The sequence below is a fragment of the Homo sapiens genome, chromosome 10 (genome assembly GCF_000001405.40).
Source record: "Homo sapiens chromosome 10, GRCh38.p14 Primary Assembly".
In the NCBI taxonomy this organism is placed as follows: Eukaryota; Metazoa; Chordata; class Mammalia; order Primates; family Hominidae; genus Homo; species Homo sapiens.
The window spans coordinates 32346689-32374680 of NC_000010.11; the positions used below are offsets into that span (position 1 = coordinate 32346689).

At 41.0% G+C, this 27992-nt stretch overlaps 1 protein-coding gene and 1 long non-coding RNA gene across 18 annotated transcripts in view, besides 4 other annotated features; one reads left to right on the forward strand and one right to left on the reverse strand.

The window, feature by feature from the left end:
• Positions 1–100: an enhancer, noted in NCBI's record as "active region_3246". NCBI's record gives its function as "activates an Ori minimal core promoter by ATAC-STARR-seq in GM12878 lymphoblastoid cells {active_cell/tissue: GM12878}" and the evidence as "EXISTENCE:reporter gene assay evidence [ECO:0000049][PMID:35858748]".
• EPC1 (enhancer of polycomb 1) overlaps positions 1–27992 on the reverse strand; it is a 111019-nt gene that overhangs the window by 78938 nt on the left and 4089 nt on the right. For 11 of the 17 annotated variants that reach the window (NR_168511.1, NR_168510.1, XR_001747214.2 and 8 more), the window contains exon 1: positions 75–470. The exons of 5 other annotated variants lie outside the window; for them this stretch is intronic. Coding sequence is in view for 5 of the 12 variants with exons in the window: in NM_001382755.1 (NP_001369684.1) it covers positions 75–227 (153 nt within the window). In the remaining 7 variants the exon portion in view is untranslated. Of the gene's footprint in view, positions 1–74; positions 471–27992 lie in introns of those variants that run through there. One more of the 17 variants, NM_001272019.4, reaches the window with a different exon arrangement.
• Positions 121–180: an enhancer, noted in NCBI's record as "active region_3247". NCBI's record gives its function as "activates an Ori minimal core promoter by ATAC-STARR-seq in GM12878 lymphoblastoid cells {active_cell/tissue: GM12878}" and the evidence as "EXISTENCE:reporter gene assay evidence [ECO:0000049][PMID:35858748]".
• Positions 451–920: a silencer, noted in NCBI's record as "silent region_2287". NCBI's record gives its function as "represses an Ori minimal core promoter by ATAC-STARR-seq in GM12878 lymphoblastoid cells {active_cell/tissue: GM12878}" and the evidence as "EXISTENCE:reporter gene assay evidence [ECO:0000049][PMID:35858748]".
• On the forward strand, positions 676–27800 carry EPC1-AS1 (EPC1 antisense RNA 1). The gene is made up of 2 exons (NR_104163.1): positions 676–787; positions 27615–27800. It is a non-coding gene; the product is annotated as an EPC1 antisense RNA 1 (long non-coding RNA).
• Positions 931–1060: a silencer, noted in NCBI's record as "silent region_2288". NCBI's record gives its function as "represses an Ori minimal core promoter by ATAC-STARR-seq in GM12878 lymphoblastoid cells {active_cell/tissue: GM12878}" and the evidence as "EXISTENCE:reporter gene assay evidence [ECO:0000049][PMID:35858748]".

Consider the following 27992-nt stretch of genomic DNA (forward strand, 5'->3'; position numbering starts at 1 on the left):
GCTGCTCCGCCGCCGCCGCAGGCAGCAGAGGGAGCGGGCCTGACGGTGGGTCGGACAGGGGAGTTAACACGTACCGACTCCTCTTCCTTCTCCATTCCGGTGGGCATCTGCGGCACGGCCCTGTTTATCGAGGCGTATTCGTGCAGGTCGGGCAGATCCTCACAGCGGAAAACCGGCAGCGGCTTCGAGGCGTCTAGCGCCCGCGCCCGAAACGACAGTTTACTCATCTCAGGCGCAGCAGATACCTCTCCGCTCTGGGGAAACGGCCCCGGCCAGCGGGATCATGGAGAACCGGGGGTTCGGTCCCCACTCGCCAACCGCTGCCGGGGACTTGAGGGGCGGAGCGCAGAGCCCGCCGTCCGGGCACTAACACCAGCCGGGAGGGTGGGAGGCTGTGCCGCTCCGCTCCTCTCTCGCTCGCTCTCTTCAATACGCCATGGCCAACATGGCGGACATTAAAACTCCACTGTGCGCTCTTCAGCCAACCCCAGCCATTCCCCACACTGCATCGCGCAGCGGCGCGGGCACGCGGGCGGGGGGAGGGAGCGCGGGCTCGAGGCCGGCGCCGGCACGAAGCGCGCGTCCCGCCAACCCCCGGCACCCGCCGGCCTCGCTTCCCGCGCCTCGCTGCTCCGGGCCCCCGCCCTTCGCGGGTCCGGGGGCGGACAGGGCGGACTGGGCGCTCGGACACCGGGCGCCGGCTCTTGGGTCGTGCTCTCCTGCAGCGCACACGCTCACTTTCTCACGCTCGCTCCCTCCCGGCGCCGCTTTCTGACGGGCGAACAAGGTGCGGGAAAACTCTCTCCACCAGCACGCCGCCGTTTGGAAAGGCAGCTGGGGAGAGTGGCAGGCGGGGCTCGGGCCCCGGGCACCTGGGGCTCGGAGGGCTCGGACCTCTGGGGTGCTCGCCAGCGGCTGCCCCGGGGCCACGGCCGCCCCCACGGGGCTTCGGAGGGGCGCTCCAGAGGCGCCGCGCGCCGCCGTCTGCCGCGGGGGGCGAACGCACAGCCTAGTTCCCGCGGCGCCTTAGGTCTTTACGATAAAAATACAAACTGAATTAGGGGCAGATGCTACTTTGAGTAAACTTTTATCAGCAGTTATTTTTATGTCCTAATGCAACTTTGGATTATAATGTTTTATAGGCACCGCATCAAGTCATTGATCCGTTTCCCACGCATTGGGCTTAATATAAATGATAGGTATCCTATTCTACAAAGTAGATTTTTTTAAATCCTGCATTTTCATCTACACATATTTACTTTTTAAATAGTAACTGAAGCAAAGGAAATTATTACCCACCACTATAACATTTAAAAGCAAGATCTACTTCAGAATTTAAAGCCAGTTCTTTATATCTAGCTCATGATTCTGTACTCAAAGAGACTGCGGCTTCATCATAGCCGTGGGTTCACACTTTCATCATTTGTCCTCTGAAAAACTTTGTAACATTGAATCATATAAAGACCTGTCGTACTCCCGCCAAACAAAAAGCTGAATTATTAGATTTAGATGGATATGATAGATGGGTGGCATCGGTTTATATTACACATGAAAATGGGTATCCTGAGATCTCTTCGTTGTTGTTGTTGTTAATAGGGAAGATTGTTGGGGTGGGTTTAATAAATTGGCAGCCAAATTTCAATTCGAGTTTCAATTTGTATCTTAGTGCACAATTTTGTATCTTGTGCAACAAGATACAAAAAGATACAAAAATGTTTTGAGTTGCTTTTCTCCCTGGGAACTACGTAGTAAAAGTAATCACGCTCCTTAAATACTGGGCTTGATATGAGCTGTCACTAGCTTAGGGCACACAGGCAAACTGCTAGCCTCCAGGCTGGTTTAGCCAGCTCCCGCGGGGTAGGGAGAAAACAGGACGGATTGCAGTTCTCCAAAATTATACTTAAACTCCGATATTGGCAGCTCACTTAAGTGAGGCATAAGGACGTTCACCTGCATTTCCTACACAGAGACCGTGCCTTTATTCATTCAATGAGTATTGAGGGTGTGTATTGAGCCCTCATAGCCTTCCAAGTCAGCTTGGCACCCACAGGGCTCCTGGAGGAGCTTACACAGTGGGGAGAAGGACCCGCGAATGGCAACTGCCACACGGCGAGCTAAGTGTTATGGTGGAAGCCCAGGCCACTGTGGGAAGGGGCAAGAGTGGCGCCCAACCCAGGAGAGTAGTTCTAATGAAGTAGCAAGGGAAGACTTTTTGGAAGAGATGATATCTGAGTAAAATTATGTAGGATAAGTGTGGGTTAACTTTGCAAAAAAAGTAAAAATGAAGGGAAGAAAGGTATCTTAAGACAACGGTAGCGACGTATCCACAAGCTGAGTCATTAGATAGCAGTCACTTTCTGGGAGCCTCAAGAATTGCCAACTTCACTGTGGAATGACACCTGTTTAGCCAGGTTTAACAGTTCCGAAAATACTGGCTGAATATTATTCTGACAGCCCTCTCCAGCCTACAACATTAGGTTCCTGAAAGTCCTAGCAGTAGAATTCATAATTGAGGAGCCTAAGATTTTAAGAACAAAATAGAGTAAGTCAAGAGTGAACCAAGGAAATGAATTATTTCTACCCTCATTAAAATAACAGTAAACAACAAAATAACTATTTCCACATCCTACATTAGTAATAATGGGTGGAGTACAAAAAAATTTCTTATTCTCTAGAGAGTCTAAAATCACCCTCCGTGGCAAATTCACAGATAAGCTTACAGATTCACTTGCCTTTTGGCAGATAATATTATATGCCTGCTAAGAGACACCTTTTTCTCATCATTCCTTTATCCGTCTCCTCAATGCTGTGGATTTCCAACTCTCAGGTCCTTCTGGGTTCCCAAGGACTCAAAGGCTGGAGTCCCAAGCCTCTTTTATAAAATTAAAACAAACAAACAAACAAAAAAACCCTTTTTTGAAATTTTTGTTTTTTAGAGACAGTGTCTCTATCTCCCAGGCCTGAGTTCAGTGTTGTGATCATGGCTTACTGCAGGCTTGAACTCCTGGGCTCAAGTGATCCTCCTGCCTCAGCCATCAGTAGCTGGGACTAAAGGTACATGCCACCATACCCTGCTAATTTCTAAATTTTTTCTAAAGACAGGGCCTCCCTCTGTTGCCCAGGCTGCTCCTGAGCTCCTGACCTCAAGCAGTCCTCCCACCTCGGCCTCCCAAAGTGCTGGGATTACAGGTGTGAGCCACTGCGTTCGGACCCATGCCTCTTTTTTATGCAGTTCACTTTTCTTCACCTTAAGGGACAGGAAGGCAGCAGTAAAGATTCAGGTTTAGTTTTCCCTAGATTCTTTTATCTGTCCGAAAGATTCCTTGAAAAAATGGTTAATCCTGTACTTTCACTTTAAAAATTCTTTTCTGTTCTCAACTTAAAATTCCTTCTTTTTCTAAGTATCCCCAACAAAAGTGATGTGAAATTCTCGATGTTGCAAACAATGTATGCTAGGGCAAAGGTGAATACCCTAACGGCAGAGGGAAACTCTTGTTTGGGAAAGGATTTGGAGTATTTAAGATAGTTTGATGTCACAAATATGTATTGGATAACCAGGTAACACACAGTACTGTCATTGTAGGGGATACAAATAAAACACTGGTAAATGGATACCCAGTTGCCCAAGTGGCAAGGCAGTATAATGAAATGCAGTGGCTATGGGAGTTCAGAAAAGAGAGCAGTAGGTCCCATCTGGGTTGATCAGACAGCATGGAGAAGCAGCATGCGATCTGATTCTGAAGGATGGCTAAGGTTTCAACTGCTCATGGGAATGAAATGCTATTATAGAAGAAAGAACATTCATGGGGGAACGCAACTGTATGAACAAAAGGGTGAGAGGCGGCAACTGTCAGGTATGATTGAGGATGAGGAGGTTTATTTGGCCGGAGTTCAGTAGGAGACTCCAACAACAAGCCAATTAGGAGATAAAACTGGTAAGAACTTGGGTGGATGGAGTAGGAGTAGAAAGTAAAGAGACATGAGTTTTCATGGTAATAATCATTACATATAATAGCACAAGAAATGTGATTTCTGTTCCAAATACAGAATTTCTACTTAACAAAAACTTAGAATATGCCAAAGGCAACTGCTCTGACACTGCATTCTGTGGTAACTAATACATTTGAAATACAGCTCTAAATAGTAGTTTATGTTCGGTATGTATCCAAGTCTTATGATTTCTTCTTTGAAATTGTTTCTGGGATTTACTTCCCAATTTCCATTTCCATTGTCTTAAACATAGTCCCAACTCTGATCACTTCACCCCTAGAAACAGCCTCCCATTCATCCTTTATTTATTCAGTCCATCCTTTATTTACTCATTCCCTCAATAAACCTTTTTAAAGCCCTCACTTTATAGGAAACTGTGCTGGTACTCTTCTGTTGGTGGCTAGTGGTAACCAAAAGTGGAAGCAGAGGCTCTGGGTCCCTGGGGCCTCACAATGCATGTCACCAAGTCAGTGTGCCAAAAACTGTACTTCATTCTGTATCTTCCCTTCCCCAAGTCATATCTTTATAACTGCTCTTGTTTTGCCCATTAGATAAAGCCAAATTTTCGAGTGTTTGGTTGTCAAGACCTCCTGTAATTTTGCCCCACTCTGTCCAACATCGTTTGTCATTATTGCTTAAGACAAGCTTTTCACTCTAGCTAGCAGTCTCATCACCATCTTCAGAAATCAGCATGTCGGCTGGGTGCGGTGGCTCATGCCTGTAATCCCAGTACTTTGGGAGGCCGAGGAGAGTGGATCACCTGAGGTCAGGAGTTCACGACCAGCCTGGCCAACATGATGAAACCCTATCTCTACTAAAAATACAAAAAATTAGCCAGGCATGGTGGTGCACGCCTGTAATCCCAGCTACTCAGGAGGCTGAGGCAGGAGAATCGCTTTAACCCGGGAGGTGGAGGTTGCAGTGAGCCGAGATTGCACCATTGCACTCCGGGCTGGGCAATAAGAGCGAAACTCCATCTTAAAAAAAGAAAAAAAATCAGCGTGTCTTTCCTGCCTCCAGGTTTTTATTCATTCTTTTGATTATTTATTTATTTATTTATTTTATTTTGAGAGATGGAGTCTTGCTCTGTTGCCCAGGCTGGAGTGCAGTGGCGTGATCTCGGCTCACTGCAACCTCCACCTCCCGGGTTCAAGTGATTCTCCTACCTCAGCTTCACAAGTAGCTGGGATTACAAGTGTGCGCCATCACGCCCGGCTAATTTTTGTATTTTTTTTAGTAAGGACAGGGTTTCACCATATGTTGGCCAGGCTGGTCTCAAACTCCTGATCTCAGGTGATCCACCCACCTCGTCCTCCCAAAGTGCTGGGATGACAGGCATGAACCATCGTGCCCAGCCATATTGATTTTTTTTTTTTTTTTTTTTGAAACAGAGTCTCGCTCTGTCGCCCAGGCTGGAGTGCAGTGGCGCAATCTCGGCTCACTGCAACCTCCGCCTCCCAGGTTCACGCCATTCTTCTGCCTCAGCCTCCTGAGTAGCTGGGACTACAGGCACCTGCCACCACGCCCGGCTAATTTTTTTTTTAATTTTTAGTAGAGATGGGGTTTCACTGTGTTAGCCAGGATGGTCTCGATCTCCTGACCTCGTGATCCACCCGCCTCAGCCTCCCAAAGTGCTGGGATTACAGGAGTGAGCCACTGCGCCCCGCCCAGCTGTATTGATTCTTTTCAGTCTGTCCTCCCTGTCCTGCCTCAGACTGTCTACCGAAATCCTATTTCACAGGAATGTTTTGGACACTAAGTAAAACAAACCATGTAAAGCACTTAGAATCATCCCTGGCCCACAGTGAACCCTCAATAGATGTAAGATATTGTTATTATTCTTCAAAATCCAGCTCAAATATCACCTCCCCCATGAAACATTGACTACTTAAACTCTCTGGGCCCTAATTTCCTAATCTGAAGCATCGGTGAGCAGTTAGGTAAATGCAAAATAAGCCTCCCCCAGTCTTTCTCATCTCTGAGCTCCTATTATGCTTTCAGTCAACAGGAAGAATAGCTACCATTTATGGAACACCTAGTATGTACTAGGTGATGCAGAAATACTTTAAATGCATTATCTCAATTTTCGTGACAGCCCTGTTAGGTATTTCCTGTTGGGTTTAGAGAGGTTGTGTGACTGGCTTATGGCCAGGAAGCTGATAAGAGGCAGTGCTTAGTATCCCTAGTATCTATCTGGCCAGACACAGTGGCTCACACCTGTAATCCCAGCACTTTGGGAGGCTGAAGCGGACAGATTACCTGAGGTGGGGAGTACAAGACTAGCCTGACCAACACGGAGAAACCCTGTCTCTACTAAAAATATAAAATTAGCTGGGCGTGGTGGCACATGCCTGTAATCCCAGCTACTCAGGAGGCTGAGGCAGAAAAATACCTTGAACCAAGGAGGCGGAGGTTGCAATGAGCCAAGATCGCGCCATTGCACTCCAACCTGGGCAACAAGAGCACAACTCCATTTCAAAAAAAAAAAAAAAAAGCAAAAAAAGAAATCCCTGGTATCTGATTCCAGAGTGCAGTCCCAGATTGAAGTGAAGTGCGAACTAGAATCGAAGAAAGAGATGTTTAAGAGGGTTGGTAATGAAGGGCAAAGAGAGAGAGAAAGGGGTAGCTATTTGAAGTCAAGGGTTTCATTGTTTTTGAAAGTAGGAGAGATGTGGGCATGTTTGTATACTAAAAGCAAAGAATCATTTAAATGGGTTAATTTTAGGGCTGTCTTTTTCTGAGCCAGGCAGGAAAGAATGACAGCCAGAATGGACAGTGATGCAAAGAGTTAAACTCTCTTTGATGGGACAACAAGATTAAAAATCATAATACTGGTTTTGGTAGCAGGAGTCCGGATTCCTCATTTCTTCAAGCATTCAACAAATATTTATCAAATGTTTACTAAGAGCTAAGGCAAGACAGTTTGTGTTGGAGAAACAATAATAAACAAGATATGGTCTCTACATCCTCACGGGACTAATAATAAAGTGAGGTACTGTATTTGTATTTAATTGGGAAAATGTGAAATTAATATCTTTAAACCATGTAAATGCACAATGATCTCTACATTAAAAAGTGATGTAGTGCAATAATTTAAAGCATTCTGCAAAAGTATGAATACTGAATACATTATCACTTGAAGTAATCATTTCTAATCATTTCTCTTAACTTCCTGCTTTTTACTTTCATAATAAGCTACATAAAGAAATGACTGCAAACAATTCTTCCACCATAACATTTAGGTAAACAAACACTGGAAGCCCTTTATAGTATGTTGTTTTTTTCATCTAGGAAATGTTGGAAAGAAAATATTACAGTTGCCTTTCAATATATTTACTAAGGTGTCACAGAAACAATATCTGAAGTACTGATTTCCTTACTGAGTAATTTGTGCATGGAGGTCTGTACATAATCTTTAAGAACTATTTTTCACATAAAATAAAATCATTCAGAATATATTTAGAAACAATATATCTGTACCTTAAGAGAATAAAGGGCAAATTATCAATCTTAGCAAACAGTAGCAGGATGGACTCAAAGTTATTTCAGTTTAACTTTATCTTCAATATGAAGTTTAACAACAACAACAAAAAAGAAATGAAAAATGCATGATTCAATACAAAAAATTAGCTGGGCATGGTGGTGGGCGCCTGTAATCCCAGCTACTTGGGAGGCTGAGGTAGGAGAATGGTGTGGACCCGGGAGGCGGAGCTTGAAGTGAGCCAAGATTGTGCCACTGCACTCCAGCCTGGGCGACAGAGTGAGACTCTGCCTCAAAAAAAAGAAAGAAAATGCGTGATTTAAACAAATGGGACTATCTGAGAATTGTAGTTGCAGCAGTATTGGGATTTAAAAAAGATGTCACACAATACATTTTAGATTTTCTATGTAATCTAAATAGAATGTCTTTACACATTTATTGTGTAAATCCTAAGGTTTAGGTTTTCTATAACCTTAGGATTTACACAATAAATGTGTAAATGTATTGGGATTTACACATTTATTGTAAATGTGTAATGTGTAACTGGCCACACAGCACAGAAGTGGGTGGCAGGCAAGCCAGCAAAGCTTCATCTGTATTTACAGCCAATCCCTAGTGCCCACATTACCACCCAAGCTTCACCCGGCATTAGATTCTCATAGGACCTCAAGCCTTATTCTGAGCTGCACATTGAGGGATCTGGGTTGCATGTTCCTTATGAGAATCTAATGCCTGATGATCTGTCACTGCCTCCCATCACTGTCCCCACATAGGACTGTCTAGTTGCAGGAAAACAAGCTCAGGGCTCCCACTGATTCTACATTATGGTGAGTTGTAGAACTGTTTCATTATATATTACAATGTAATAATAATAGAAAGAAAGTGCACAATAAATGTAATGCACTTGAATCATCCTCATAGGGGGAGCACTCCCTCCCCTGGATCCATAGAAAAGTTGTCTCCCATGAAACTAGTCCCTGGTGCCAAAAAGACTGGGGACCACTGCTGTAAATCATCTGATCTTTTCCTCACTGTGCTGGCAAGCAGTTGATACCTCTATGACAGCATTTTAAGGAGGATACTACTAGTTGCAGTTGGAGAAGTGGTGGGATGCGTGAACAGGAAACTGTTGAGAAACTGAACTTGAAAAATAATAATTTACTCCTTAGCAGAGGAACTATTCGGTAGTCTCTTCCATGTCTCATCCCAACAATTAATTTCTCAGAATAAAAGTCTATCTTAGAAAAATGTACAAATTAAACTGTATACATTTTAGAAATATTTGGTGGTATTTATCTAAACTGGATTACGTTAAATTACTGTCAACCCATTAAATCCATTGACTGGCACATACTGACAGATTACTATGTGTAGGCCAGGCATTGGTGCAAGGTTATAAATGGTAGAAAGACAAAAACAAAGAACACACTACCTTTAGTGCCTTACCCTTTTTTTTTTTTTTTTTTTTTTTTTTTTTTTTTTTGGGACAGAGTTGACCAGGCTAGAGTGCAGTGGCATGATCTTGGCTGCAACCTCCGCCTCCTGAGTTCAAGCCATTCTCCTGCCTCAGCCTCCCGAGTAGCTGGGACTACAGGCGTGCGCCACCACACCCAGCTAATTTTTGTATTTTTAGTAGAGACAAGGTTTCACCATGTTGGCCAGGCTGGTCTTGAACTCCAGACCGCAGGTGATCTGCCTGCTTTGGCCTCCCAAAGTGCTGGGATTACAGGTGTAAGCCACTGCACCTGGCCAGTGCCTTACACTTTTGAGTAGATAGACTACTTAAGCATTAGTTTTACTAAGTAATGCACATACAAATCAGTATGGTACAGATGGTACATGATGGGTGAAGGAACAAAGGAACAAAATTTAGAGAAAAATTGTTAATGAAGTAGAAACATATGTTGGAACATTTAAGTACAATTTATTAGTGGGTGGTAGACAAAGACTGTCAGGGAGGAAGGGCTTCGAGAGAGAAAATATCATGAATTGCTTTTGCTTTTATAACACGAGGAAGGAAATTCTGTTTTCTTACTGAAACTTGGGGTACAGAATTATCATCTAATAAATTAAGATTAGTGAAATAAAATGTTTTATCTTTCACTATATTTATTCTTCTCCATGACACCTTGAGTAACATTGTGCCAATTGCTTAGGTAAGCACTGTGAATCTAGTTCCCCTTCCCTTTCAGAGCAGGGAAGGGAAAGTGAATGACTGGAAGCCCATGGAGTGGGATTCTTGGTGTGAAGACTCACTCAGGGAGTGAGAGAGGAGCATAGAGAATGGAGCCCTGGGGAATACCAACATCTAGAAGATACCCAGGACAAGAACAGAGGGAGAGGCTGGGACAAGCCTGGAGACAAGCCAAATGAGGTCAGCATTTCAAGGAGGAGATCAACGAGGAGAATCAAAAAGAATGAGGAGGTCACAGTAAACCCATTTTCTTTAGGACACCGTGGGAGGAAAATAGACTCTGTGAGCTGAGCCGTGAATTGGAAGTTATAGGCCTAGTGGTGCCTGCGCACGTTGATTAAACATTTACCGCCAGGCGCGGTGGCTCACGCCTGTAATCCCAGCACTTTGGGAGGCCGAGGCGGGCGGATCACGGGGTCAGGAGATCGAGACCATCCTGCCTAACACGGTGAAACCCCATCTCTACTAAAAATACAAAAAATTAGCTGGGCGTGGTGGTGGGCACCTGTAGTCCCAACTCGGGAGGCTGAGGCAGGAGAATGGCGTGAACCCGGGAGGCGGAGCTTGCAGTGAGCTGAGATCGCACCACTGCACTCCAGCCTGGGCGAGGGAGCGAGACTCCGCATCAAAAAAATAAAAATAAAAAAATTTACCAAAGCCCCCAAAAAAGTGATTTCCCAGTACCCTCCTATAATCATTGTTTAAGTACTTGTTCACAAGAATGAGACCACTTTGAAGTCAAAAATCAGTTAAGCTTCAGGACATAGCCAGGGACACAGAGTAGCTATCATCCTCAGCGCCTCCCATGTTAGAACAGAGTACATGACGTATCTTCCAGAGTTAAAGCTGTAGAAGCTTGGAAACCAAAGACCTACATGACTTCTCTACATGAATTACTGACACAGGTAAAAGCCACATCCAGATCTTAAGATTTCTTCTGAATTTGGTTTCCCAAACACGAGACGCATAAGACAAAAAATAAGACAGTTGCACTGCAGCAGCATGTATATTGGAACGAGATAATATTTTTTGTTTCAATTGATTTATTTATAATAAGGTTAACACTTTGTGTTTCTGTTTCTTCTGGTCTTTTCTGGTTTTGTTTGTTAGTTTTGTTGTGGTTTTGACACAGGATCTTGCTTTGTGGCCCAGGCTGCAGTGCAGTTGTGCTATCACGGCTCACTGCAGCCTCAAACTTCTGGATTCAAGTGATCCTTCTGCCTCAGCCTTCAGTAGCTGGGACTACAGGTGCGTGCCACCATGTCTGGATAATTTTTTAATTGTTTTCTAGAGACAGGGTCTTGCTACGTTGGCTAGGCTGATCTTGCACTCCTGACCTCAAGCAGTCCTCCTGCCTCAGCCTTCTAAAGTGCTGGGATCATAGGTGTGATTCACCATGCCTGGCCCCATTTGTTAGTTTTTGTTTTTGCTTTTCATTGGCTGGTTTTACAATATAGAGATAATACAGTTTATTCTGTTTTGTGGCCTTCTCAATAAATTTTTTTTTTTTTTTTTTTTTTTAGACAGAGTCTCACTCTGTTGCCAGGCTGGAATGTAATGGCATGATCTCCACTCACTGCAACCTCCACCTCCCGGATTCATGAGATTCTCCTGCCTCAGCCTCCCGAGTAGCTGGGATTACAGGTGCCTGCCACCTTACCCAGCTAATTTTTGTATTTTTAGTGGAGACAAGGTTTCACCATGTTGGCCAGGCTAGTCTCGAACTCCTGACCTCAAGTGATCCACCCGCCTCAGCCTCCCAAAGTGGTGGGATTACAGGCATGAGCCATCACGCCCAGGCTACTTCTCAGTATAATTTGAGAATGCTCCCATCTCATTAAATACTCTTCTGAGACTATTATTTGACAAAGATACTTATCTAGCATCTGTAAAACAATTTACTTAAGAATTACCCTCTTAAAGTATAGAATGCACTGACTTTTCATTGTTATAAAGAACACGTATAATCTGAATAGTACTTTTAAAATAAAAATAAAAAGTGGGTTTAGGATGGGTGTGGTGTCTCACACCTTTAAACCCAGCACTTTTCAAGGCTGAAGCAGGAGGATCACTTGCACCCAGGAGTTTGAGACAAGCCTGGGCAACATAATGAGACCCCATCTCTACAAAAAATACAAAAATTAGCCAGGGTGTGGTGGTGCACACCTGTAGTCCTAGCTACTTGGGAGGCTGAGGTGGGAGGATCACTTGAGCCTAGGAGGTTGAGGCTGTAGTGGACTGTGATCGCGTCACTGCACTCCAGCCTGGGGAACGGAGTAAAAAAAAAAAAAAAAGCGGGGGCGGGGGGGGAAGAAAGTGGGTTTAAATTTTCACGGTTTAAGGCACAGAACCAATGTCTGCTGTTCTTTGAATAATGATAGTGCCAAGTCTACACAAATGAAGGTTAGCTGCTTCATCATCTGTCTGAGTAGATGACAAGCACCTAGGATTTAAATATCAGTATTTCTTTCCAGATATTAGTTTAGCATTTTCAAAAACTAGGCTCCATAAAATACTGATGTTCTGAAATGAGAGTTATGTAAAGAATTCTGTATAAAACTGGTAAGTTAGGGAAATACTGCTTATTAAATCTTCCTCTTTAAGATAGGTAGAGGCTCACCATGTATAGGCTCAGGGAAGTCCTGCAGAAAAGAAACCCATTTACTGATGCTTAGCACAGTATTTTCCAAAGTTCTCTGACCATAGAACCCCTTTCTGTACACTGTTAATTATTACCTTTAGCTCTATAAGCGCACACTTTAGGAAATTTCATTCTAGGCAATTCAAGGAAATAGAAGTTTTTCCAATCAAGTTATCCATCTAATTACTCAAGTCTGCCAAATAAACTTTGAAAAGGCATAAAGATCTTATAAATTTAAAATATTATCCTTATCACTGTCTTAAAATGTTTCATCCTGCTAAAAATTGTGTAATATAAGACATTTAAATATAAAATTGGATGAAATTCTGGCAGGTACTAGAATTGAGCAGATTGCTACACTTTGATAGTATATATGGTTTAATAACAAATTAACGAGAAATGTTTAGCTACATTTCTTTCCAAAAATTTCTCTAGTAAAATGAATACACTGAATTTTAATTAAAAGATTTTGACACTAATTTAAGCTATTGAAAGCTGTAGTTTCCCCATCCATAAAATAGGAATTGTAACAGAATCTATTACCTAGGTTGTTGCAAGCATTCAGTGAAAACAGCATAGCATGGGCTTGCCACAAACGTCATGCTTAATAAACATAAGCTATTTTTTGAATGATAGTTTTACCCTATTTTTTTGAATAGATCATTTTACTCTTCTGAGATTTATTTTTCATATGTACAGTATACAACATAATATTGTGTTGTAAAGGCTTCAAAACTCTTAGCTAAGGAAAGAGAAAAGAAATTCTCACACGAAGCCAAATACCTGAAAGATACTATATAAAATTAATTTATTTAAAAGAGGACATTCACCTTCTGAGGTCTTTTTGTTTTGTTTCCATTTAGTAGTTTTGTATCATTCATATGTTTGTATCATTAGTAGTTTTGTATCATTTATGTTGGTATCATTAGTAGTTTTGTATCATTTATGTTTGTATCAGTAATTTTGTATCATTCGTAGGTATATTTCATACTTTTGTATCATTCGTATGTTTGTATCATTAGTAGTTTTGTATCATTCATGTTTGTATCAGTAGCAGGTCTGTATCATTAGTAGTTTTTGTATCATTCATATGTTTGTATCATTAGTAGTTTTGTATCATTCATATGTTTGTATCATTAGTAGTTTTGTATCATTTATGTTTGTATCATTAGTAATTTTGTATCATTCCTAGGTATATTTAGTAGGTTTGTATCATTCATATGTTGTATCAGTAGTTTTGTATCATTTCTATGTATATTTAGTAGTTTTGTATCATGTATATGTCTACAAGGAGCCCTGTTGCCTCTTTTCCTCATTGCCAAGTGATTTCATCTGGTAGTTGCACAGTGGCTGCCCAATCTCCAAATCTGGTCAAGCTAGCTCCCAGGGGGTCAAGGCCTCTTTGCACAGGTTGCTACTGTTTGCCTCAGGGTGAGTGCTGTGTGTGAAAACAGTCCAGTGATAAGTAACAGTTTGCATTCAAGGCAGCCACATAGTGTAGTGAGACACAGCAGGATGTACCAGAAGGAACACGGGTTTCCATATTTGCTGATCTGGATCTGAATCTAGTATTTACCATTTACCAGCAGTAGGACTCTATAGAAAGGATTTGATCTCACATGTATCAGGTGGTTCATGCCTGTAATCCCTGCACTTTGGGAGGCCAAGGTGGGTGGATCACCTGAGGCCGGAAGTTCGAGACCAGCTTGGCTAACATGGTGAAACCCCGTCTCTACTAAAAATACGAAACTTAGCCAGGCGCAGTGGCCTGCGCCTGTAGTCCCAGCTACTTGGGAGGTTGAGGCAGGAGAATTGCTTGAACCCAGGAGGCGAAGGTTGCAGTGAGCCGAGATCGCGCCACTGCATTCCAGCCTGGGCGACAGAGTGAAACTCCATCTCCAAAAAAAAAAAAAAGTATAGACAATCAGTAATCAATGTGGTCTCTCTAACCCAATGAGAATTCCTGTCAAACAGCCCGTTCCTTATTCTCTTTTGCCTTTAAAAACATGCTTGTAACAAAGGCCAAGGGAGCACTCTCCAAGGCAACTTAAAAGTGTGCTCTGGGCAGCCATCCTCACTTTGGCTTAAGTAAACTCTTAAAATTGTATTTGTGCCTGAGCTTCTTCCTTTAGGTCAACAGCTTTAGGAAAACAAATTGCTAAGAGATATAGTGTTGTGTAGTGGTTAAAAGGTCTGGCTCTGGAGTCAAACATGATGTGGGTTTGAATCTCAGCTCTGCTTTTTTCTAGCTCTGTAAACATGAATGAGATTTATAACTTCTATGAGCGTCAGCTTCCTCCTCTGTAACGCCTATGTGCAGGCATTGTGTTGGGGATCAGGACATACCACCCCAAAATATGACAGTGGGAGACCAGAATATGCCACCCCCAAAATTTATTTCTTTGGCATATTTGAGCTGGTTATTCTGAGAAGTTGCAGGTATAGTAGTAGCGCCGAAAAGCTATCCTTTGTTACAGAATACCCCCATTTTTCTAAGAAAAATAGAATAAGTTACGATTATAGTTTACTGTTTTCTCTTCTTTTCTCTTTTCTGCATTTTCCCTGTTCCCCACTTCCTGCTTAGTCATTTAGAAATGCAATTATAACCTTTTACCCACCCCCAATCACCAGACACCCCCTATGGGGCAAGTTCATCTATGTGCTTCCAAGCTTCAGAGCGAAACTCTCACCCATCGGGAGACTGCTTTGAGAGATAATAGTCAATTTACAGCCCCAAATGTCAGAGGTGTTTGAACCAGAGCAACTCCATCTTGAATAGGGGCTGGGTAAAATGAGGCTGAGACCTACTGGGCTGCATTCCCAGACAGTTAAGGCATTCTAAGTCACAGGATGAGATAGGAGGTCAGCACAAGATACAGGTCATAAAGACCTTACCAATAAAACAGGCTGCAGTAAAGAAGTTGGCTAAAACCATCAAAACCAAGATAGTGATGAGAGTGACCTCTGCTACACTCCCACCAGCATCAGGACAGTTTACAAATGCCATGGCAACATCAGGAAGTTACCCTATATGCTCTAAAATAAGGAGATTTTTAGCAGATACTTAAGAAATAACCATAAAAATGGGCAATCAGCAGCCCTCGGGGCTGCTCTGTGTGTGGAGTAGCCATTCTTTTATTCCTTTACTTTCTAAACTCACTTTCACTTTATGGTCTTGCCCTGAATTTTTTCTTGCATGAGATCCAAGAGCCCTCTCTTGGGGCCTGGATGGGGACCCCTTTCTGGTAACAAAAGCATGTGATATAGTTTAGATATGTGTCCCTGCCAAAATCTCATGTTGAACTGTAATCCCTAATGTTGGAGGTGGGGTCCGGTGGGAGCTGCTTGGATCAGGGGGTGGATTTCTCATGAATGATTTAGCACCATCCTCTTGGTGTTGTTCTCATGATAGTGAGTGAGTTTTCATGAGATCTGGTTGTTTGAAAGCATAGTAGCACCTCCCCGCTCCCTGTCTCTCTCTTGCTCCTGCTCTGGCAATAAGAGTTCTCATTCCCACTTTACCTTCCACCATGACTATGTTTCCTAAGGCCTCCCCGGAAGCCGAGCAGATGCCAGCATCGTGCCTCCCATAAAGCGTGCTGAAGCATGAGCCAATTAAATCTCTTTTCTTTATAAATTACGCAGTCTCAGGTATTTACGGCAATGCAAGAACAAACTAATACAGTATGCCTGCTACAAAACTCTCTCCCACCTGGATAGTTTTTGGCCCACGAAGATGCCAACTCAACTGCCTGGTAGATAAGGCACCAAACTAACACATGGATACCCCATCTGCTTGCTTCCTCCCATGTGCCATTCATGTTAGGCCCCCTTTTAAAAGTGCCTGCTTTCTGCTGCAGAAGTGAAGCAGTACCCTTAAGGCAGGAAGCCTGTACTTCTTCTCCTAAGCTAGCTTTAGGAACAAAAATTCACCTTCTTTACACCATACCTCCTTGGTAAGCGAACTCTGCAAGTAGCCAGCTACTGAACCTGTATTTCTGCTACACTTTTGTAAAAGAAATTTACATCCATAAAGGAAATCTATATTAGTAAAAGTATCTGTAACAGGAAGAGGGAGACAACTCTTTATTACCTGAGAGACAGGGTTTCACTCTGTCACCTGGGCTAGAGTGCAGTGGCACAATCTCAGCTCACTGCAACCTTGACCTCTGAGGCTCAGGCAATCATCCCACCTCAGCCTCCTGAGCACCTGGGACTACAGGCATGTGCCACCACACCTGGCTAATCTTTATATTTTTTTGCAGAGAAAATTTTGTATTTTCACCATGTTGCCCAGGCTGGTCTCGAACTCCCGTGCTCAAAGGATCTGCCTGCCTTGGCCTCCCAAAGTACTGGGACCGCAAGCTTGAGCTACCGTGCTCAGCCCATTTTTTCTTGAAGAAAGAGTAAGGAATAATTTTCACTGTAGGGTGGAAAGTCAGTTGCCCCTGAGTATCCTGAGCCAGGTTCTAATTACCTTCATTTTAACATAAATGCTAAGCTGGGTTTATGCTAGCTGTCAGTCATTCTTTCCCTTGAACAAAAATACTAAAAACCTAGACCTTTAAAAGAAAGAAATGCTATTCTGAATTTTTAAAAAAGTGTTCCTTCTTAAATAAATTCTCAAACTCTATCCTTTCTCTTTCAATTCACAAAAATACTAGTGTGCACACACATGTATATATACGCTTCTTTACACCAGGCTTGTAGGGGACACTATTGTGTGTATTTCCAATATATAGTTTCCTTTCTTCTGTCTTAACAGAACTCTTTTTGCCTTTGTTTTCTTGAGTTGTTCCGATAACTGTGCTTTTCCAAATAGCTAAACTTGCTCAATCTACTTGAAAAGCAATAGCTCTTCAGCATGAATTTTGAACTATCCTCTGTATAATGGTCTTTCTTAAAATATTCTCTTTTCTTAATTCTCAGTGGGAATAAAAAACAAAACAATTTTATGTACAGAGAAAAAGTCTAATTTTATAATAGTATCGTGTCCATCATGTTGGCATTTTTTTTTTTTTTTTTTTTTTTTTTTTTTAGATGGAGTTTCACTCTTGTCACCCAGGCTGGAGTGCAATGGCGTGATCTCGGCTCACTGCAACCTCTGTGTCCCGGGTTCAAGTGATTCTCCTGTCTTAGCCTCCCAAGTAGATAGGATTACAGGTGCCCACCACCACACCGGCTAATTTTTGTATTTTTAGTAGAGACTTTTAGTAGATTTTGTATTTTAGTAGAGACCATGTTGGCCAGGCCGGTCTCGAACTCTTGTCCTCAGGTGATCTGCCCGCCTCAGCCTCCCAAAGTGCTGGGCTTACAGGCATGAGCTATTGTGCCCAGCCCCATCATGTTGGTTACTCAGGGTATTTTTAAAAAGCAAAAATTTTTTTAAGCCATGTGACATTTTTATAATTAGAGTCATCAATGAATTAAAAATTAACCCATGCTAGGTTACCTTAACTGTATTACAAAGTTATTTGCAAGCTTTTATTTTAAAGAATGTAAGTTTCAATCCTGGCTCTGCCACCACCTAGTTGAATGGTCTTGATGTTAATATCCCTGGGCTTCCATCTCCTCAACTTTGAAAAGAAGGAGTGAGACTCGACCCTTCCCAACTCTTTCAACTCTCAAATTTTATTATTGTTTTTATTTTTATTTTTTGTAGTTTATAGAAAATAGGGAATACATGAAATTTTTTAAATGTAAAAAGCCAAGAAAAGATAATTTACTTTGAGACATGTGATTTCTAAAGAAACTATGCCTTTGGTATTTTCTAACTATATATTTATCAAGCTCGTCCAACCTGCAACCTTCCAACCTGTGGCCTGTGGGACACACGCAGCCCAGGACAGCTTTGAATGCAGCCCAGCACAAATTCATAAGCTTTCTTAAAATATTACGAGAATTTTTTCATGATTTTTTTTTTTTTTTTTTTAGCTCATCGGCTATCGTTTGTATATTTTTTGGCCCAAGAGGATTCTGCTTCTTCCAATGTGGCCCAGGGAAGCCAAAAGATTGGATACCCCTGGTTTACATAGTAAAGAAAGCACTAAGAGAAGTATAAGAGAAAAAGTTCTGGAAGACATGCCCTAGGGAACGTAACTTCAATCCCTGAGTCAGAGAGGTTATGGCCTATTAGTTAGTAATTGGTGACACTTGACGCTTAAACAAAATGGTCTTACAGGATGGTTAGTAGAAGTAACTCTGCCTTAAGTGTGCTCAAATGTGATTTGAGGAATCAGTGTTGTTTATAAATGTCACTAAAACTAGATAACAAGGACTCAGAATTAATATGAAAAGATGCAAACTTTAGCATAAAGGCTAAAGCAGATCAAAATAACCATCTAGTAATAAAAGATCTGCAATTAGTCTGATAGTTTCACTAGAAAGTGAGGAGAATTTCTATGTAAGAAAATAATTAGCACAGTCTTATTTAGGCACTGAGAAAAATACCAACAACAACAACAAGAACAATAACAGTCGCACTCTAACCACTTTCACAATTTGAAACATATGATGGAAATATGAAGAGTACATTTAGGCCGGGGACGTGGTTCATGCATGTAATCCTAGCACTTTGGGAGGCTGAGGCAGGTGAATCATTTGAGGTCAGGAGTTCCAGACCAGCCTGGCCAACATGGTGAAACCCCTGTCTCTACTAAAATTCAAAAAAGAAAAAACTGGCTGGGCATAGTGGTGCACCTGTAATCTCTGCTATTTGGGGGGCCGAGGCAGGAGAATCGCTTGAACCCGGGAGGCAGAGGTTGCACTGAGCCGAGATCACGCCACTGCACTCCAACCTGGGCAACAGAGAGAGCTCCGTCTCACAAAAAAAAAAAAAAAAAAAAAAAAAAAAAAAAGGACAGGTGCAATGGCTCAAACATGTAATCCCAGCGCTTTGGGGGGCCGAGATGGGTGGATCACCTGAGGTCAGGAGTTCGAGACCAGCCTGGCCAACATGGTGAAACCCCGTCTCTACTAAAAATACACAATTAACATGGCATGGTGGCGCGTGCCTGTAATCCCAGCTACTTGGGAGGCTGAGGCAGGAGAATCGCTTGAACCCGGGAAGAGGAGGTTGCAGTGAGCCGAGACCATGCCACAGCACTCCAGCCTGGGCAACAAAAGCGAAACTCAGGCTAAAAACAACAACAACAACGACCACGAGTACTTTTAAATCTACATTACAAAACATGTTTATGTTTCATATGATGCTTTAATAAGTTTTCCTAACCTTGTTTTGTTTATTGGGCCCCACCTCTGTGCAAAAGCATTGTACTATAAGCCAGGGGAAATATAAAAGAAAATGTTGCTCTTGCCGTTAGTGAACTTACTTCCTATAAACACAAGCAGGCACACCCTGCTTGTAAACTCTAGTTTGAAAGGTAACATTTTAAATAACTTGATATCTTTATATGCCCAGATTTACAAATGATTAAAATAAAAAAATAGGTAATTTTTCATGAAGTTACCTTACAGAGTACTTTATTTTCAATTATGATATTGAAGAATGAAGTTTAATGCTAACCAGCTTAAGCCCCAAATTTATTCATTGTTTCAGATTTTCCTTATTAAAATTGGAAATCAGTATTCAATAATCATAAGAATAGTCTGCCATCAATTTTTTTTGGCCATTTATAGTGATAAATATGAGGTATTATATCAATACATGTAAAGAGGTATATATAAAAAAGCAAAATGACAGAACAAAAAGCAGCACACAGAGTGCAACCCACACAGTGATCACAGCCTTCAAAACGTGTGACAGGCATTGAAAGAATCATGAAGGAACACAGACAGAGAGGTTTCTCCTTAAGTGTGAGGGTATGAAGCAGTGTGCTACCATCTTCCTCACAAGTTGGATGGAGAGATTGCAGGTGAGTATAATGTAGCCTTTGCCATGGCAAATTCCAGAGCTAAAAAAAAATCTACGTGGAAATTTCCAGTTTTCCACTCTTAACATCACTAACCATCCAAACTATGTACGTATGTATGTATGTATGTATGTATTTTTAATTTTTTGAGAAAGAGTCTTGCTCTGTTGTCCAGGCTTGAGTGCAGTGGCACAATCTTGGCTCACTGCAACCTCCAGCTGCTGGGTTCAAGCGATTCTCCTGCCTCAGCCTCCTGAATAGCTGGGATTACAGGCGCCAGCCACCACACCTGGCTAATTTTTGTATTTTTAGTAGAGGTATTGCCATGTTGGCCAGGCTGGTCTCGAACTCCTGACCTCAAGTGATCTGCCCACCTCGGCCTCCCAAAGTGCTGGGATTACTGGCATAAGCCACCACACCCAGCCTTTCGCTATTCTTATTAATGTAAAGACTGGCATGAGCCACCGTCCCCGGCCCCAAACTTTTTTAAAACAATAGCTGAAGAAACTTTTAAAAAGGCTAGTAAGAGATGAATTTCACTAGAAAAATCTGATTAAATGTAATGTAGATAATTTTGAATTTTAGACATAAAGAAAAAATTTTAATTTAAAAGTCCAGAAAATTTCATAATCATAACAACTCAAAATTTAAAATTCCATATATTGGCATATAAAATAACATGTATATTAAACTTTCAATTCTTTTTAAATGATATATTTTTTCAAGTTTCCCCACTTTTTCACTAGGGAAACTTGTGAATACAGTATAGCTGAACAAATGTATTTTTAAAAATGCAAAATCGTAAAGTCATATAAAGGTGTGTTTTCCAATTGAAATGTACACATTTGTATTGAATTCTGAGTTTGTATTTATTTGAAAGGAAATAATAAGCAGACAACTGCCTGTTTCTATCCTCTCAAATAAACAGCAGTGCCATTCTGCTGTTAGCCAGCCTAACACAGTGCAATTGTTATTTTTCTTTCGTCTTTTCTCTGTCATTTTCTGTTCATTTTTGGGAGAAGAATGCTAAGTTACTAATATAAGTAGCCTTATAAATGTAAACTCATAATTGTCAGGAAATGTTACATAAGCGAATGTCTTCTGCGTCTTTCAACTTTTTGGTGCCCTTATGCTGCCCCCTGCTGTCCAGTGTCCACACTTACTGAAAATTGTCCCAAACTTCCAACCTTTTCTACTTCTCTTTACTCCGCCATCAAAACTTACCTGGCAAGAGACCCAGACTGTTGGAGTTTCCCTCCACAATGCCAATGGGTTAACAGACAAATAAAAGAAAGAAGTAGTTCTCTCTTTATTTATCCCTTCATCATTTTCTGGCAATTGACGCAAGCATTTGAACTGGTGCTCTGTGGGCAATGCCTGATTTCTAGGTTCCCCAGCTTGGGATTCCAAACCCTCCCTGTGTTAGTCCAAGCTACTCTCATGGACCTGTCTCTCCCAGTGTCTAACCTCTGCACATCATAGCCTACTCTCTATCCGCACTGGCTTCTAGCTGTGTTTCCCACAGCCACGTGTGTTCTTCCATCTTTGCCTGTGCCCACACTGCTTTCTCTACCTGGAAGGTCTTCTCTCAATCTTTATCTGCTGAAAGTTTACCCATCCTTCAAGGTTCCAGTCAAAACTACCTTTTCCTTTATGGCTCAGGGAAGTGTTTTTTTTGTTTGTTTTGTTTTGGTTTGGTTTTTTAATGTAGTAGAAATTCAATAAAGATTTATTTAATGAAAGAAAAGCAGATAATAAACCTTATACTCTATGTGACTCATTGACTTAACAGAGTACTTGGAGAAGATAATGACCTATTCCAGGCAGCATCTTTAATACTGCAAAATCCATACACCTGAATGCGGTAATCTTTTAAATTCGCGTCGCACTGTGTAAGGCCTATTTTGATCTCTGAAATCAGGTTTGTCTAAGAAATACAGAACTTAGAGTACATCTTGAGTACTTATGGCAAGTCTAGCGCTATTCAAGGCACTTTAGATGCACAAACTCATTGTGTTCTCTCAACAGCCATGTGAGATTAAGTAATATTACTTTGTTTGATAGAAGAAGAAACTGAGGGTCTGGACAATTGGTAGTAAAGGGCAAAGTTAGGAACTCTGAACAGATCAGACAAAGCCGTGTACTTCAAGTGTTCTCCTAATGTCTGCAATAGAAATGTGGATGGAGAGGCTTCTGGTCAGCTATTCTGGAAGCTAAAAAACCTTGTCAATAGAATAACATTGGAAATTGTGACCACATAGCCAGACAAAGCCATGAGAGAAATTCAGTCAGTCAAGGATCAGAAATATCTGGAAGAGTTGATTGTTCTACGAGACAATGTGAAAGAATATGACATTCTGCCAAATTCAAAGGTATTTAGATTTAGATATAAAAGACAGCTACATATTCTAAAAGGTTAGGAAGTGCAAAATCCAGGTATTTTTCAATTGATGTAGCCATAGATTCTAACATGACTTGAAAATAAGAAATGATACGACTCAATATCTAAGACAAGTAGGCCTTCAGAATACCTTTTTTTAAAATAAAAAATACAGTAAATATAAATAAGGCTCAGTACACCCCATCAGTGTCTCAAACAAGGATCTAGTTGTGTTCCAACCAAAACCACTGTTCGTCAAAAAATTTGAACAAGCTAAGAAGGCAGACCAAAAAATTTACTTGGGAAGACAACACCCCAAATTGTTTGGGTAGGTCATAACGGTTCTTTTAACAGGTAAGCATATTTTAACTCCAGAAAGATTTAGAATGTGCTGTCGAAAGTACTGCATTTTTTTGTAGTGTAAGTAATTGCACTATTTAAGAACACTTGACCTAATGGAGTAAGAGGTCAGCCTATTAGACTTTTAAGCAGAATTCTTACTAAGTTTATGTGTATTATTGAAACATTAGAGCAAACTTAAGAGTTACCATGTTTAGAAGTTAAATTATTAGATCTGTAAGATTTTAGCTTCTTGAAAATGTTACAAAGTACTAAAGAAGGCAATTATATGTACTAAATTTATAAATTCAGTGTAAAAAGTTGGGAGGTGTTTAATTAAGTCATGCTACAGATAAGACCAGATATTATTTAAAGGATCATGATTTCTAAAATTTGCAAGATTTATGAATATGATAAGATTTGTATACTAAATTTTAAAGCATAATGGAGAACTACTACTTTGAATATATAAGCTAAAAACTTTTTATATATATTTTAAAAACTGGAATTAACTTCTGAATAGCCTTTCAATATATAAGACCCACTCTGAAGGGCATCAAATAACTCATAACTGAAGAGGAGTTACAGGGCTGGTTTTCTTCCAGCAAAAGTTTGTGTTCATTAGGCAGTCAATTTTTTGCTTCACTCCACAGAACTGGTTTCACTGTCATTAATCTTTATGTAGGTCTGGGCCTCCCTCACCTCCTAGGAGATGGATAGTAGGTTTTGAAAGATGGAGATGAGAAGTAGCCTGGCTAGTCTACAAAAACCTCCCCCAAATTTTTGGTTTAGTGGGTTGCTTCAATAGCCGTAAGCCTGTCTCTATAACTTAGCAATTCTCAACCCTGACTGCTAGGATCCCATGGACAACTTTTGGGAAATATTTATTTCCAGATCCCATCCAGTCCAACTAAACCAAAACTTTTTAGGGTAGGGCATAGACATTTTGCTTTTAAGTTTCTGGGTGATTCTCCATACAGGCAGAGTTGAGAACCAGTGGTGCACGAGTGTGAGCCTCTCATGATCTGAAGGACCCAGAATCATTCTAGACCAGGGCTGTTCAATAGAGCTTTGGGCAGTCATGGAAATGTGCCATAAATCTGTGCTGTCCGATATGGTAGCTACTAGCTGGGTGTAGCTATGGACCACTTGAAATGTGGATAGTGTGACTGGGAAAATGAACTTTAAAATTTAAGCTAATTCAAATTTAAGTTAATTCAAATAGCCACATGTTACTAGTGAGTACCGTATTGGACAGCACAGTTCTGGAGTTTTAGGCAATTTTAAATGATCTGAGTCTACTATTAAATAGATGCTGAATGACTCTTTTTGATTCTAGACCACACTAGCCCAAACTCATTGCTTATGCCTCTTCAGGATACTTCATACCAGCTTCTTGAGAAGACCTCCAATGGTATGGAAGGATGGCTTGAAGCTTATAATGGCTTCTGAGGATAGAAAGGACATGGAATTTGCTGGTTTTTTCCTCCCTCATTTAGGTTGGCAATTTGTTTCTTGACAAATGAATGAACACCTTCAGAACTAAAAATTTCTGAAGTCTCATAACTTAATAATGGAACCGCAAAGCAATTAAACTCTTGGAAATGGTCCTCTTCATTCTTTGGCATGTTGCAGTGTTTTTCAACTGGGGATTGTGACCTCTATCTTGGAGGATGGAGAGTTTCCAGTGGATTGGAGCAGTGGCCTGAGTTTCAGAGCTAAATATAGGTCATTGGCATGGCAGCTTCCCTTTCTCAGTCTCATGGATACTATGTCCTACTAGTGAATATGTGGCATTGGTGGTTGGTGGAATAAAATCTTGAGAAAAACAGCAAAATGACACAGATTCAGGTCTTTCACAGATGGACCTTGATATTGAGCAAAACTAAACTCTACTTTTACCTACTTTAAAAAAATCACTTGTAAAGTATGCGTGCTATTTTAAAAAGGTAAAAATACACACATTAATGACTCGTTGGCAAATAAATTTTAAACGTGATATTAATGCTAAAGCATAAGGAGAATCCTCCATGGCCAGGCGCGGTGGCTCACCCCTGTAATCCCAGCACTTTGGGAGGCCGAGGCGGGTGGATCACCTGAGGTCAAGAGTTCGAGACCAGCCTGGCCAACATGGTGAAACCTCATCTCTACTAAAAATACACACACACAAAAATTAGCTGGGTGGGGTGGTGCAGTAGTCCCAGCTACTCGGGGAGGCTGAGGCAGGAGAATTGCTTGAAACCAGGAGGCGGAGTTTGCAGTGAGCCAAGATCGAGCCACTGCACTTCAGACTGGGCAGCAGAGGGAGACTCCATCTCAAAAAATAAAACAAAAAGATTCCTCCTTCAAGTCTTTGCTCAACTCTCACCTTTTCAATCAGCCTACCCTGAACATCCTATTTAATATTGAAATATGTATATATTAATTCCTTTTGCCAAAAATTAAATGACACCCTTTCAAAGTTTGCAATCCATATTTCAAAGCCAAAATACTTATCATGGCAGACAGCCTCTGATACTCTAGAGCAGTGTTCTCAAATGTTGCTGCCTGGACCAACAGCATCTCATCATCTGGGAACTAAGAAATGAAAATTCTCATGCCCCACCACAGGCCAGCTGAACCTGTAACTCTTGTGGTGGGGGCCTGGGAATCTGTGTTTCAATAAGCCCTCCAGGTGATTCTAGGGCACACCAAAGTTTGCAATCCACTGATCTAGAGTACAACAAAACCCCGCAAAATGTCCCACAGGTGAAAGCTTCCATATATGCCAAAGTTATAAAGACTGAAACATTTCAGTACATACCATTGGCCTTACATATTGCGAAATGGATGCCAATATTCCATCTGGACCTAATGTTATGAATCATGAATTTACCCCCTTCAATAAGGCCTCACTGAATCTCTAGGCTTTGATCTTCTTTTCCCTGTAAAAATTTGTCTGAAAGAATTTCATGAGATGTTCCTGAAGAGAGGAGGTAAAGTACAAGTACAAATGTATCAGAAGCAAATTCGACATACAAAATTTCATCTGTATATGACTGATAAATCAGAAGGCCGATTACTCATTCTAGGAAAACACTGTTAGATTTACAAAGTAATAAATTAACCAGAAGATTCAACAGCAATATCATAGAGCACATTTAAAAGATAAGTCAGGCCGGGCGCGGTGGCCCATGCCTGTAATCCCAGCACTTTGGCAGCCGAGGCGGGTGGATCACCTGAGATCAGGAGTTCGAGACTAGCCTGGCCAACATGGCAAAATCCCATCTCTACTAAAAATACAAAAAAAATTAGCTGGGTGTGGTGGCGGGCGCCTGTAATCCCAGCTACTTGGGAGGCTGAGGCAGGAGAATTGCTTGAACCCGGGAGGCGGAGGTTGCAATGAGCTGAGATTGTGCCATTGCACTTTAGCCTGGGTGACAAGAGCGAAACTCGGTTTAAATAAAATAGAATAAAATAAAAGTTAGAGAACACCAATTTTACAAATATCTCATGTGATAGTAAAGAAAAGGAGGTAAGTACACAGCCTCTGATTTCAGACTTCCCAAGTTCAAACTCTAGCTTTTTCATTTCTGTGTAACATGGGCCAAGTGTCTGGGGTATAAACCTCTCTATGCCTCAGTTTCCTTGGCTGCAAAATGGGTATAATGATTGCCCTATTTCCTAATTTTGTGTGAAGATTTAAGGAGATAGAGGTAGCATTTAGGCTGCAGGCTGGAACATAGTAAGCTCTAATCAAATGTTGTTTTTGTTATTTTTAAAATTAGCCCACAAGTGACATATCTGGCCACTGAGAAAACAGATACTAATGTTTTAATCACTCAAGAATGTTTATACAAAACAGTTCAAGTTTACATAAAGCAATTAAGTGCTAACCTTATTGAGCTCTAAATATTCAGCAGATGTTCACCCTTCTAAACATCTTGCCTAGTTAAACCAATCCTGGTAATTTCAGTCCCCTTGTCAGTGACTGGTTTAGGTATAAGCACGTCCTACAAACCTGGCCAATGAGCTCTAAGAAACACTGTGCTATGGGGCTTCTGAGAAAGGATTTCTTCCTTTACAACAAGATGAATAAGAGTAACTCTCCTCACTTTGGATATTTTAATATTAGGATATGATGCCTGGGTCTGCAGCAGCCACTTTGTGACTATGAGGAAAGACATTGCTGATGTTATGGCAACGTAAAAGGTTAAAGTATCTTAATAACATTGTTGAACCAAATCTAAAACTCACTATTGAACCAAACCTAGAACTCACTTGCCACCTGATTACATATTTAGTTGAAAAACTAATGTCCTTATTTTTTATGCCACTATCAGTAGGGTTCTATGTTAGTATGAAAGCAAACTAAATAATATAACACACCTAGCTACTATAGATTAATTGGCTGTATGACACAATAATCTGGTAACTTTATTCCTGAGATCATCTTAACCCACATAGAGATTCCTTAATAAATAGTTCCTTCTCCTCCAATTCATCTGTATAGAAATAACATCAGTCTTACTTTCCTGCTCCATACCTGATATGTTTAACTAATTAACCATTAGCTAAGTGTTGAATTATATTATTCTCATAAATTAAAATATGTTTTTATTTTTAAAATTTCTGTTATATATACCATTAGAAATTATTACAGAAGGTTCTAAAATAAAAATTTTAGTTCTAATATAATACTTCAATACTAATTTTATTTCCCTGCTTCATCTTCACAGTTTATATTTACCATGATGTTTATTTGATGACACCGTGAACAAAATGTGCAAAATGAGGCCCTACCATGTTTTAAAAAATGTTTTCATCAAATGGATCTCAGAGGGACATGCCCAAAACTCCTGCTACCAGAGTGATCCTCTCTTCATCTCTTTTCTCTAGCCAATAAATCAAAGTTTCATTTCTCATTTTGCAATAGGAATTTGTATTAGGCAACCATCTGTAGCATCTATTTGGGTTATATCTAAAGCTTAAGGGCTACATCCTCTCCCAACCCCAATATGTGAGTACTTGATGCCCGAATCATGGTCCTTCAATGGAAGAACACTTGTCAAATCCTATTTAAACAGATCTAAATTAAAAAAATATTTTTTTTCTAA